This window comes from Homo sapiens, chromosome 20 (assembly GCF_000001405.40).
Source record: "Homo sapiens chromosome 20, GRCh38.p14 Primary Assembly".
NCBI lineage: Eukaryota > Metazoa > Chordata > Mammalia > Primates > Hominidae > Homo > Homo sapiens.
In genome coordinates this window covers 51,343,801-51,357,232 of record NC_000020.11, presented here as the reverse complement: position 1 = coordinate 51,357,232, position 13,432 = coordinate 51,343,801, and the positions used below count along the sequence as shown (strand labels likewise).

General features: G+C 48.7%; 1 protein-coding gene across 1 annotated transcript; it reads left to right on the top strand.

Annotated features, from left to right (window-relative positions):
- The first annotated feature begins 3,006 nt into the window (after positions 1-3,006).
- Positions 3,007-11,435, top strand: LOC124904930 (uncharacterized). The gene is made up of 2 exons (XM_047440631.1): positions 3,007-3,109; positions 8,224-11,435. Exon 2 carries the CDS (start codon positions 9,612-9,614, stop codon positions 10,344-10,346), a length of 735 nt encoding a protein of 244 aa, XP_047296587.1. The 5' UTR covers positions 3,007-3,109; positions 8,224-9,611; the 3' UTR covers positions 10,347-11,435.
- The last annotated feature ends 1,997 nt before the right edge of the window (positions 11,436-13,432 follow it).

Here is a 13,432-nt window from a genome sequence, read left to right as displayed (position 1 = left end):
CAGTGAGGAGCCATGGAGGGTTTTGACATCCCAACTGTCCCTTTAATATGCCACCCTCCCCTTGGAGCTCAGGCAGTGTCCCCATCACCCCACCTTTCACCCTTGCCCCTGCCGAGAAAAGCCAGGCAGCTGGATGGGGAGTTTTCCTCCCTGGCTGCTCAGGCTCTGGGAGGGATGCCACTGGCTGATGGGGGAACAAGAGCCTCACTCACTGTTGTGGACGGCCAGGGCAGCTGTGATTCTCTAATACAAGCCCAGTTGCAGGCCGGGCATGATGGCTCATGCCTGTAATCCCAGTACTTTGGGAGGCTGAGGCAGAAGGATCACTTTAGCTCAGGAGTTCAAGACCAGCCTGGGCAACATAGCAAGATCTCATCTGTATTTAAAAAAATAAAAAAAAATTAGCCAGGCATGGCGGCACATGCCTGTAGTCCCAGCTACTCAGGAGGCTGAGGCTGGAGGTTTGCTTGAGCTCGGGAGGTGGAGGTTGCAGTGAGCCATGATCACGCCACTACACACCAGCCTGCGTGACAGAGCAAGAGAGTGAGACCCTGTCTCAAAAAAAACCTCAAAACCAAAAAAAACCCCACAAAACCAAACCCAGTCGCAGGCTGTGTGCCCAAGGTGACTCAACCATGTTAGCAGAGGACTTACAGAGGTCTTCACTTGCAACCAGGAAGGTAAGTCAGAAGGGGATTCCATCCCTTGCCTGAAGGTCCCTGTCCCGCTTCCCACCCCTTCCCTTCTAAGGCTGAGACTAGGGATGCCCTCAGGACTAGGGGTGGGGAGGGGCCAGAGATAAGGCTCAACATCTCCTTTAATTCTCACAACAAACCTTGCAGAAAGTTCCAGTGTCATCCCCATTTTACAGGTGGGGAAACTGAGGCTTGAGGTTTAGCTGGTGAGGTATCATGCCCAACACCAGCTGTGGAGTAAGTGATGAAGGTGGGATTTGCAAGCAGGGATGGCAGCTACATGACCAAGGCTCTCACCAAGGCAACGGAAGTGGAATCACCCCCAATCACTCCCCACCATTGAACACCGGCTGGATCCAACACAGTGCTCACCCCTGCAAGCCATCTCACTTGATCCTTACTACAAGCCCATGAGGTAGGTGAGCTACCATCATTCCCACTTTACAGATGAGGAAACTGAGATCCTGAGAGGCTAAAGGAACTTGCTCAACATCACCCAGCTGGCTGGTGGCAGCCCCAGCACTTGCACCCCCATGGGGTCTCAGAGCTCATGATCTACTCCGGTGCAAGATTTGCTCTCTGTGGCTTTATATTTCACATGCATTTTACTTCCTACTTAAGTTTGGCTGAGGGAAGCACACGGTACATTTCCACTGATGGGAAAGGCTGGGATGGACCCTTAATTTCGAAGAGGGCTTCCTCAATCGGATGTCAGTGTCAGCTTCCTGATATGCAGCTCCCTGACATGCAGCTCCCCAGACAAGGCTGTGATGTGAACACAAAACAGCGAACCCTCCAGGACAGGGACCATGACCTTTTTATGGCTCCTAATCAGTAAACCAATAAATGACATTTAATATTGATCAAATGCCTACTCTGTGCTAGGAACTCTGCCAGACAGTGGGGATGCAGAGATGAATGAATTGAACCTAGCTTCTAACCCCATGGAGGGCCTACTGGGCAAAAAGACGACTGGGCACATGGAGACCATGCAGGCTATGAAGGGAACATGTAAGGTGAGACAGTGGCTCATCGAGATCGTTCCACCCAGGAAGCCCCTCTGGGGAGGGGACATTTGAAGATGAGACCTGAGTAACAAGAGGACACAGACCAGGCTTCTTTCTTTTTGCATCTCCAATGCTAAGCACATGTCTGGCCCCAGGTGGGTCACCATCAACATCACCACCTCCATCACAGCTCCCATGCTGGTTGCTAGTGTGCGCCTTCTAACTATTTGCTTGTTCAGAGTATTTATGTCCATTTTACAGAGAGAAAACTGAGGCTCTGGGAGGCACTATGTGTCACCCACGGTCACTGGCAGAGCTGGTGTTTAAACTCATATCCAAGTGGTGCCAAAGCCAAGCTCCTCCCCCAACACATCCTGCTCATTTGCTGAATGATCACACTAAAGACAGTAAATTCCACAAGCCCCACTCCATCTGTCACCAGAGGGTGACATCATCCTACTACGGGTCTAGGGAGGTGGCAAGGTTACCTCTCTCATTTCCTTCCTGATCACTGAGGGCTACCAGGCACCGGGCTGCCCTCCAGGGTGTGGTCCTCCCACCTTGTCCTCAGGCGTGGGCACTAGAAGGTGCTGGAAGGTTCTGTTAGCACCGGCCCTCACCCAGGCCCTGGAAAGGCCACCGGCTACCCCTTGCCCTAGCTCCCTACCCTGCACCTCCAGCTCCACAGCTGAGGAGTCTTTGGGGCTGTCCCTGCAGGGGGGTGGTGGATCACCCCAGGGCTACCTGGTACAGGGTGCCCCACGCCACAGCTCCCGAATGTTCCAACAGGAAAACCAGCCATGCGTTCCACCCCTGTGGCTCATAAATGTCACCCCTGGAGATTAGCTGAGCTCCATGCTCCTGAACTCGGCCTCTTTAAGGAGCATGAGGAAGGACTGAGTCACGGCCCCCAGCCCTTTCTAAATTGGACTCAAAATAAAAAAAATAAATGAGAGAAGGAAAGGGCATGATTGTTTTTGAGAGCAGAAAAATGAGCTTTCTTCGTGCTTGCACGCCTCCAGAGTGACCCAAGGGAGTGAGCTCAGAGCAGCTCCATGCAAACCCCCGTCAACTTCACCTTTAAGGTGAAGACGGGAGCCAAAGGAAATATTGTGATAGAGTCTAAGGTACTGCTGATGCCCGCCTGGCGACTTGATTCACTGAACTGAGTGCAAACAAATCTCACAGCTCCTTCCTCTCTGCAAATGTGGGTGTGGGAGGCAGGGCCTGGGCTCAGAGTCACCCCCGCTCCCGCCAAGCACAGCTCCGTGTCCCTGCTCATTGTGTCTCGTTTCTTTCTGTAGAGCACACAGGACTCGCTCCGGAACTTGCATGGCCCACTGCGAAAGGAAAATGCAGGGTCCCTGTTTGCAAAGCAGGACAAAAAGCGTCACTAAAGATACTAACGTAAACATTTTTCTTTTTGCTTTCTTCTGTGGGCCCTCTCTTGAGATGGTGTTTTTGTGCTTTTAAAAATTTGCTATTTATTATTGTTTGAAGCAAAAAAAAAAAAATTTAAATATTTTAAATTAAATTAAATATAAATGAATTTTTATATTATGCAATCCCAATTTCAAATAGAAGCCTATGAGCATGGAGCCCATCGGCAGCATCACTGAAACTTTAACATTCGTGTTTTGGAGCTTGCATATGGGTATATATGTTGTTCTTACCAGGGTAGTGGAAACGTTGCACAAAACTTTCTCAATTGTTTCTATTTCACTCCTTGAGACATGCACATTTATACCTACATTGCCTCTGGCTTACTGATGAATAAAGAAGGGTTGAAAGGAGAAGGAACCCTGGTCACCCTGTCTTTCCCCTTCTGGAAAAGTCATCGTGTGTAGCAATAAATGGTTGACCACTACAGGGAAGTCCCACATGTAAGAAAAGGTTCCTGGGCCATGCATGTTTTTTTCTGCCTTGACAGCAAGTGAATGGTTCTGAGAAAGAACATGGCTTTCAGAGCTGCCAGCGTCTCTTCCTACTCAGTCACACATGGGACGTTCACCTTGTATTTGCTCTAAGTCTCACTGAACTCACACAGAACTCTGAAATCGTGGGGCACAGTGAAAACAGTGTCCTGGGCTGGGCTTGATGGCTCATGCCTGTAATCCCAGCACTTTGGGAGGCTGAGGTGGGCGAATCACGAGGTCAAGAGATCGAGACCATCCTGCCCAACATGGCGAAGCCCTGTCTCTACTAAAAATACAAAAATTATCTGGGCGGGGTGGTGTGTGCCTGTAGTCCCAGCTACTTGAGAGGCTGAGGTAGGAGAATTGCTTGAAGCCGGGAGGCGGAGATTGCAGTGAGCCGAGATCAAGCCACTGCCCTCCAGCCTAGAGACAGAGCGAGACTCTGTCTCAAAAGAAAAATTAAAAACAAAAACAAAAACAAAAAAACGCACAAAAAAACAGTGTCCTGTGCCTGTGTTCTCTGCTCAGGCACACACTCCCTTGTCCTGTCAGACTCCACTCATAAAACCTAAGTTCAAAGATAAAATCATTAAGAATTTTAGGATAGCAAAAGCAGTGTATGAAACTAAGTTCAAAGTCCTTCTGAGCACGAGGCCCTGTGCAGTCGCACAAGTTGCACACGCGTAAATCTGATCCCGCTACAAACATGTTTATTTTTCTTACTCAAATAATGTATGTATATTATAGAAAAATTAGGACGCATAAAAGTGACAGTTACCACCGAGCCGTGACTACCATTAACATTGGCTCTCGGATGGGTGCAGTGGCTCATGCCTGTAATCCCAGCACTCTGGGAGGCCGAGGCAGGTAAATCACTTGAGCCCGGAAGTTCGAAACCAGCCTGGCCAATATGGCAAAACCCCATCTCTACAAAAAAATACAAAAAATTAGCCAGGCGTGGTGGTGGTGGGTGCCTGTAATCCCAGCTACTCAGGAGGCCGAGGCATGAGAATGGCTTGAACCAGGGAGGCAGAGGTTGTGGTGAGCCAAGATCCTGCCACTGCACTCCAGCCTAGACTACAGAGTGAGACTCTGTCTCAAAAAAAAAAAAAAAAAAAGTAAAGAAAAAAAGAAAAACATCGGCTGTGTAACTTTCGCGATGGTTCTTGAGGCCTCTGTCACAAGATCACTTCTCAAAATCCTTGATTGAATTCTCCAGTGGCTTCTTCAAACGCTCCTTACTGGGGGAACAGGCCCTGGTGATCCCCCTCCCATCCATGCCACCCTCCGTCCCCACCTCTTGTTCACCCCGCCCTAGGCACCAGGCTTTTCCTGATTCCATCTCTGGTTTTGTTTTGTTTTGTTTTGTTTTGTTTTTGAGACATAGTCTCATTCTGTCGCCCAGGCTGGAGTGCAGTGGCGTGATCTCAGCTCACTGCAAACTCCAGCTCCCAGGTTCAGGCAATTCTCCTGCCTCAGCCTCCCAAGTAGCTGGAATTATAGGGGTGCACCACCACACCCATGTAATTTTTGTATTTTTAGTAGAGATGGGGCTTCAACGTGTTGGCCAGGCTTGTCTCAAACTCCTGACCTCAGGTGATCCACCAGCCTCTCTCCCAAAGTGCTGGGATTATAGGTGGGAGCCACTGCATCTGGCTCCTGATTCCGTCTTTGTATCTGCAGTTCCCCATGCCTGGGATCGTCATCCACAAGCTCTTCCTGTAACTGCCTCTTCAGCTGCAGGCCCCAGCTCAAATGTCACCAACTCTAGGAGCCTTTTCTGACCTATCATTGCCTCCCTGTTATTCTTCTTCATCTGCGGGACCAATAACTCTCCCCAGGGCTGTGCCTGCTGCCCGTGGGCTTCAGACTGAGTTTCTGAAGCAATTATTGATGGGGGATTGGGCTATCATGAATGGCTTATAATGGAGTGGGCAAACTCCTGCCTGCTGGCCAAATGTGGCCCATGGCCTGGTTTTGTAAGTTTTATTGGAATCATTTTTGTATATAACCAATGGCTGCTTGTCTGCCTCAACAGCAGATGATTCATTGTGAGAGATACTGCATGGCCTGCAAAGCCTAAAATATTTACTATCTGGCCTTTTATATAAGAAGCGTGCTGGCTGGGTGCGGTGGCTCATGCCTGTAATCTGAGCACTTTGGGAGGCCGAGGTGGGTGGATTGCTTGAGCTCAGGAGTTGGAGACCAGCCTGGGCAACAGGGAAAAACCCCATCTATACCAAAAATACAAAAAATTAGCCCAGCGTGGTGGCTCATGCCTGTGGTCCTCAGGAGGCTGAGGTGGAAGGATCACTTGAACTCAGGAGGCAGAAGTTGCAGTGAGCTGAGATTGCATCACTCCAGCCTGGACGACAAAGTGAGACACCCATCTCAAAAAGAAAAAAAAAAAGTGTGCTGACTCGTTGCTTAGACTAGCTAGAGCCTACCCTCAGAGCAAAGGATGGGGTCAGCTTCTCTTGAGTCTCATGGCTGCCTCAGAAAGGGGCAGAAATCCAAAGAAAACTGAGTGTCCTGAGGAAGGAGGAAGAGGGAGTGAATGCTGACCAGTCAACCAACAGTCACAGTAAACACAAGTGTACAATCAACATAAAGCCAGCTCCACTTTAAGGCAGTGCTATGACTTACTTAGCAAATCCCATAAGATTTAACATCTAGATTGCTTCTAAATGTTTGCCATTGTAAATACAGTTGGCCCTTCGTATCCACAGGTTCTACAACCACAGATTCAACCAACCAATATTTGGTTGGTTTCAACTAACATTTGAAAATAGAAAAAAAAAACAGAAATAAAAAATAATACAAATAAAAAACAATACAGTATAACTATGTACATAGCATTTACATTATATTAGGTATTATAAGTAATCTAGAGATGATTTAAACTATTCAGGAGGATGTGCATAGGTTATATGTAAATTTTATATCAGGAAATTGAGCATCTTCAGATTTGGTATCCATGGGAGTCCTGGAACCAATCTGCCTCGGATACCAAGAGATGACGGCACTCCTGTAATATACATCTTATGCACGCATCTCTGGAACTGGCCATTTCCTTAGGCCCCACCCAATTTTTTTTTTCTTTTTTTACTTGGGGGCCTGAGCTATTCCTCCACAGCACTGATCTCCCATCATTTTCCAGGGTGGGTAGGGAGATGAAGTCTTGCCTTATTTTTCAAGATGAGTGCTAGGGTGCCTGTTGAGATGCTATGGGGGGACAGGCTGCAAGGAAGCCTGACATTCATGGAAGGGCCCTTGTGTTGGCTGTGGCAGCTTCATCTCACACTTGAAAGGCTAGCTTTATTGCTGCACTTTTGCACCAAGGAAATGGAGGCTCAGAGATATCCAGTCATTTGCCCTAGGTCACATAGCCAGCCAGTGGCAGAGCAGGGCATAGAATCCAACGTGCACTTCCCCACACTGTCATTCATCCTGGGCTGTGGGGGAGGGACACTGTTGCATTGCTGGATTGTCTGGGAGCTTGTGGGATAATTTTAGAGGGTTAAAAACATTCCGAACACAAAACTCCTCACGTACATGCTGGATGGTGCCGTGAGCTTCTTCACCAGGAGTTAGTTTCAACCTGCACTTGGAAAGAAAACTTTGTGCCTTTCCCGGGGAGAAGGAATCCGCTTCTCAAATCAAACTCATTCCTGCTAAGATACAAAGGACAGGTCAGAGCTGTTCTCCTAAAGGCTGCCCCAGAAAGGCAGCAGAGGGAAGGAACTAGGGAGAGCCCAAAGGCACTGGGGTGGGACAGAGACAGCCAGGTCCCAAAGACGCACGATCCCCTCTCCCCAGCGCAGTCTACAGGCCTCTGATGAGTTCTTTCTCCATCTATCCCCTGCTGGCCGGAGACTCTTTAATGAGTGGCCCTGGCAAAGCCACTTCAACTGCTGCCTCAGTTTCTCCTCCTTACAAATCCACTTTAAAAATTTGGTGGTACTCCCCACAGGATCTACAGGGCTGTGTTGGGGACCCAGCCTTGCCTACGGAGCTTGCCAAATGAAAGTCATCCAGGCTGCCTTCAGAGTTTAGTCTACATCCGGGTATCAGCTTTACTATGACTTATTTCTTTTCACTTACATAAACGTCCTTTAAAGGAAACTTAAAAATCATTACCATCAGTAATAAATTAATCCACCTGCCTCAGCCTCCCAGAGTGCTGGGATTACAGGCATGAGTCACCGCGCTACTTGGGGAGGCTGAGGCAGGAGAATTGCTTGAACCTAGGAAGCGGAGTTTACAGTGAGCTGAGATCACGCCACTGCACTCCAGCCTGGGTGACAGAGCTAGACTCCATCTAAAAATAAATAAATAAAAATAATAAATTAGCACCATTTTTCAAATAAAGAAGGCACCCATAAAAACATGTAACTATTATACTAAATGCTTTTCTCATGTACCCTTGCTGTCCGGTGTGGTCATGTGTCTAATTCTGGCATCTCCCTGTGCCTTGAAGGGCCACTCCCCATTTCCTGACTATAGCTTGCAGTGGGCAGGGACATGCCTTTCTTCTAGGCTGCTTTATCAGGATGAGGCTGGTTTTTTGTTCACCAACTGTTTTTTGTGTCTATATCTCACCAGGTTCAAAGCTTGAAGGATAGCGCGTTTCAAATTGCAACCACAAATACCATCGTCTTCCACCATGACTAGCCACCACCCCATGAAGGCAGCAGTCCTTACTCAGCCTAATTTTTTTTTTTTTTGGTAGAGACAGAGTCTTGCCAAGGCTGGAACGCAGTGCTGGGATATCGGCTCACTGCAACCTCCATCTCCCAGGTTCAAGCAATTCTCCTCCCTCAGCCTCCCAAGTAGCTGGGACTACAGGCGCCCACCACTATGCCCAGCTAATTTTCAGTATTTTAGTAGAGACAACAGGGCTTTGTCATGTTGCCCAGGGTGGTCTTGAACTCCTGAGCTCAGGCAGTCTGCCCACTTCGGCCTCCCAAAGTGCTGGGATAACAGGCGTGAGCCACTGTGCCTGGCCCCCACTCAGCCTAATATTAACAACATCAAAACAATTGATATTTATTTCTTGATTACTCCCTAATCCCTGGCTGATCACTTCCCATGCATGGTTTAGTTTAATCCTGAGAGGTAGTCATTAGTAACTCCATGCTGCAGATGAAGAAAATCAGGCACAGAGAGGTTAAGTAAGTTGCCCAAGTTCACACAGTTAGCAAGATTCAACTCAAGATTATCTGAGACCAACACTCTTCACAATGATGCTATTTTGCCTTCCCAAAATAGCAACAGCAACTATTTATGGGAAAGGACACAAATTTGGGGAGGTGAGATGATAGGTACCCGCTTCTCCAAGATGCAAAACTATCAAGGGGCAGCTCTCATCAGCTCATGAACCTTCCAACATGCTGACCTCTGAATCCAACTGTTATCCTCACCCCCAGGGCCATGGCTTACTCATGAGGCCATAGAAGAATGGCCACATTTGTCCATTCCTGATCCTGGCAGAGGCTTCTGTCTTTGGGAGAAGTGGTCAGGCTAAGGAGAGAGCTTCGTATTCTCCAACTTGGCAGGGACCTTTGGGATGGTCTGCTAGTCCCCATTCTCTCATTACATCTCAAATTCCATCACTGACTGGGTTCTGGGCCCTAAGGCTGTTTATCTAATTTGGGTGTCAGCCAATGACCACCCAGGAGCCAAATCTGGTCCACTGCAGGTTTTTGTACCACCCATGAACTAAAAATGGTTTTTACATTTTTAAGTAGTTGAAAAAAATAAAAAGAAGAGTAATATTTTATGACAGAAGCACATTATATGAATTCTTGACTGCCTCTGCTAATAGAATGTGGCAGAAGTGCCAGAATGATGTCTGAGGCTGCACAGCTTCTGCAGGTTTCTTTTGGGACACATGTCTTTGAATCCCTGAGCTGTGATGTCACAAACCCAGCCATCCTTAAACCACCATGCTGCACAGATCATGAAGAGGAATCACCCAGAGATGAAAAGAAATGCCTAAGGAGCTCTGGCTGTTTGAGCTCAGAGCCAGCAGCATCATCAACACCTGCCTCAGCATCTGTATCAGCACCAATACCTGCTTCAGCACCTGCATCAGCATCAACACCCGCTTCAACATCTGCATCAACATCTGCACCAGCATCACTACCAGCATCAGCATCACTACCAGCATCAGCATCTGCACTTGCATCAACACATTTTTCAGCACCTGCATCAACACCTGCTTCAACATCTGCATCAACATCTGCACAAGCATCACTACCATCAGCATCACTACCAGCATCAGCATCTGCACCTGCATCAACACCTTTTTCAGCACCTGCTTCAACATCTGCATCAACATCTGCACCAACACCAATACCTGCATCAGCATCAGCGCCTGCATCAGCATTACTACCAGCATCAGCATCTGCACCTGCACCAACACCTTTTTCAGCACCTGCATCAACACCTGCTTCAGCATCGGTACCTGCATCAGCATCAACACCTGCTTTAACATCAGCAGCTGCGTCAGATTAGTATCTGCATCAACACCTGCTTCAGCATTTGCACCAGCATCTGCATCATATCTGCCTCAGCATCAGCACCAGCACCTGCATCAGCATCTGCATCATTATCTGCATCAGCACCTGCCTCAGCATCAGCACCTGCATCAGCACGTGCATCACCATCTGCATCATGATCTGCATCACCATCGTCATTGGTATTGGCATCGGCATCATCTGTGAGTGAGTGAGCCTTCGGGGATTTTGGTTGCTAGCTTTTCTGCAAGCCACCCTAGCTGACACCACATAAAGTCAGACATAAGCTGTTCCTGCCAAGCCTTGCCCAGACTGCATATTTGTGAGATGAATAAACAATGGCTGTTTTTGAGCCCCTAAAGGTTAAATGATGCGTTCAAGGTTGCTAGCTCATAAGTGTCAGAGCTCTTCCTTGAACTCCAGCTCTGTCTGATTCCAAAACTCCAGCTCTGATTCCAAAGCCTCTGGCATTGCAGGACAAGGCTTAATGAGATGATGAGTGCCGAGTGCTCAATGAATGGGGCTGTAGTCATTGCTGTGGTCATTATTAATATTGTAATAAGTCATCCCAGGCCCCCCAACAATTTAGCGGTGAGTGGGTCTTCCATCTGGGCCCCCTGATTCTCAGCCCCGTGCTCTTCCCTCTCACTCCGTTATCGAAGAAAAGCGAGAGATGATTGCGGGCACTTCAGGCAGGGGCTGGCACATGGACAGCTCCATCAACGTGAGCTGCCATTATGGCTTGGCATGAGTTAACATAGAGACAGGGGCCTACCTGCCTCCTGGCCCTCTGACTTCTGCTTCTACCTGGCCTTGTCTCCACATGCCAACAAGATTTATTCTCATCGATGGATCCAGTGACTACTGGTTGCCACAAACCTAGGACCAGCCAAGACCCAGTTAGCAGCCCAGGGTCTTCCCCAAGAAGTAGACCTCACCCCAGCAAGGTCAGCTCACAGGATGAGATGCGTTTTTGCATTTGGTGGAGGCAGCCGACATCTACCAAGTACATGTTTCACTCCTAGGAGAGAACACTCTGGGACTCAGAGGCTGGAAGCTCTGCCAGCAGGAACCAGGCCCTGGAGCCTCTGTGACTCATCCTTTCCCCAAGGTCAATCGTTGTTTTGAAGGTCAACTGTCCTCAGAGCTCTGGAAGCCATGCCTTTAGTAGGTCAAGTTTGCAAGTACACCTCCTGGTTCCCTTTCCTTGTCTGCACCCCTCCACGGCCTTTATCTGAACTTCCCCCTAGTGTGTCCTGTGCTTTTATAAATAGTCCTGAGATGTTTCGTTTTAAATTCTGGAGAAGTCAGCCCTCATCTTTTCCCCACCCAGAGATGCCCTCGGGGCCATGGGTTAGTCACAGGCATCTGGAGTTACATAACCCAGGGCTGGTACCAAAGTGGGCGTCTGGCCGGGAGGCTCCTTCCCGGCCCATTCCAGTGTTGTGTGAGTCAGGCCTGTGCAGAAACACCCTTTGTCAATCTGCAGCACTGCCCCCAAAGAGTCAGGCTTCAGAGAAGGGTCTGAAGCGCCATGTGAGTCCACACTCTGGACCCTCAAGCTACAGGAGTGATGCCAATCATCAGGCCACCACGCCTCCAGCAGGCAGGAGCCTCCGAGGAGGGCAGTGTTCCAATAGCAATTCTGGACTCCATGCCATTCCCTGAGTGGGTTGGGATGATAGCTTATCATGAAGTGTGGCCCCCTCCAGGACACTGGCATCAGAACCCAGTGGAGATCTTGTTAAAAATGCATGTTTCCAAGTCCAAACCCAGACTTAGTAAGTCCGGCTCTCAGGATTGTACATTTTCAGTAAGTGGCCCTGGTGATTCTTAAGCAGTAAGTGTCAGAGCCAGGGGTCTAGGATGCTGAAGGTCTGGTGCAGCCACTAAGCACCTCCTAATTGCCCCTCAGTGAACACTTCTTAGGAGTCTACTGTGGGCCAGGCACTGCCCAGACCCTTGCGGAGTCAAAAAAGAAAACAAAACTTAAAAAATAAAACAACAAAAAATCAAATAAAAACAGAGAAAGCCCCACCTTTGTGCAAATCTAGAGATTGTGAGAGCCTTTCTCGGTGTTGGGAAAACACAGGACCAAAAGCAATCAAAGAATATGGTTATTTCAGAGAAGATTAAGTGCTGGGAGGAAAATGAGGCAGGATGATGGGGCACCGTGGGTGGCATGGGGACATTTTAGGCAATGGGGAAGGCAGGCCTATCTGAGGAAGGGGTGGAGGACAGAGACCTGAGCCTAGCAGTCAGGTGCAGGAAGAGGTGGGAGAAGGTCAGGCATGGGAGATGCTTCACCCACAGTGCCTTCTTGACCCTCACATCCCTGCACAGGAGTTATAGGGATTCCCCCATCCCCTTTGCACAAACTGCCTGCTCCTCCTATAGCCTCCATCTCAATTGGTGGCAACTCCGTCTTTCCAGCTTGTATCTGTTTCCTAATTAGGGCTGTGGGAACAAGGAACAACCCGGGTGGCTAAAAACAACAGAGATGCATCCTCTCCCAGTCCTGGAGGCCCAAGTCTGGTATCAATGTGTTGGCAGAGTGGGTCCCTCCTGGGGCCTCTGAAGGAGAACCCGTTCCTTGCCTCTCTCCAGCATGCCTTGTTGCTGGCAGCTCCTGGGGTTCCTTGGCTTGAAGCCGCATCACTCCAATCTCTGCCTCCATCTTCTCTTGGCCTTCCCCTCCGTGTGTCTCTGTGTCCTGTCCTTTTCTTATAAGGACACCTATCATTGGATTCCAGGGCCTCCCCACATCCAGGATAATCTTATCCTGAAATCCTTAACTTAGTTACATCTGCAAAGATTCCTTTTCCAAACAAGGTTGACTTTGCAGCTTCCAGGTGTTGTGACTTGGGGATATCTCTGGGGGGCTGCTAGCCAGCCCACTCTACCGTTGCTCAGGCCAAAACACTTGGAGTCACCTCTGATGCCATTCTCTCTCATCCTCCACCTCTAATCTATCAGTGTAACGGTCTGTCTTCATGCTGCTGACAAAGACATACCCAAGACTGGGCAATTTACAAAAGAGGTTTAATTGGACTTACAGTTCCACGTGGCTGGGGAGGCTTCATAATCATAGTGGAAAGCAAGGAGGAGCAAGTCACATCTTACATGGATGGCAGCAGGCAAAGGGAGAGATTGAGCAGGAAAACTGTTTTAAAGCCATCAGATGTCATGAGACTTATTCACTATCACAAGAACAGCACAGGAAACACCCACCACCATAATTCAGTCATCTCCCACTGGGTCCCTCCCATAATACATGGGAATTATGAGAGCTA

Coding starts and splice junctions, on each gene's coding strand:
- LOC124904930 (XM_047440631.1), top strand. CDS start 9,612: ATGCCTAAGGAGCTCTGGCTGTTTGAGCTCAGAGCCAGCAGCATCATC.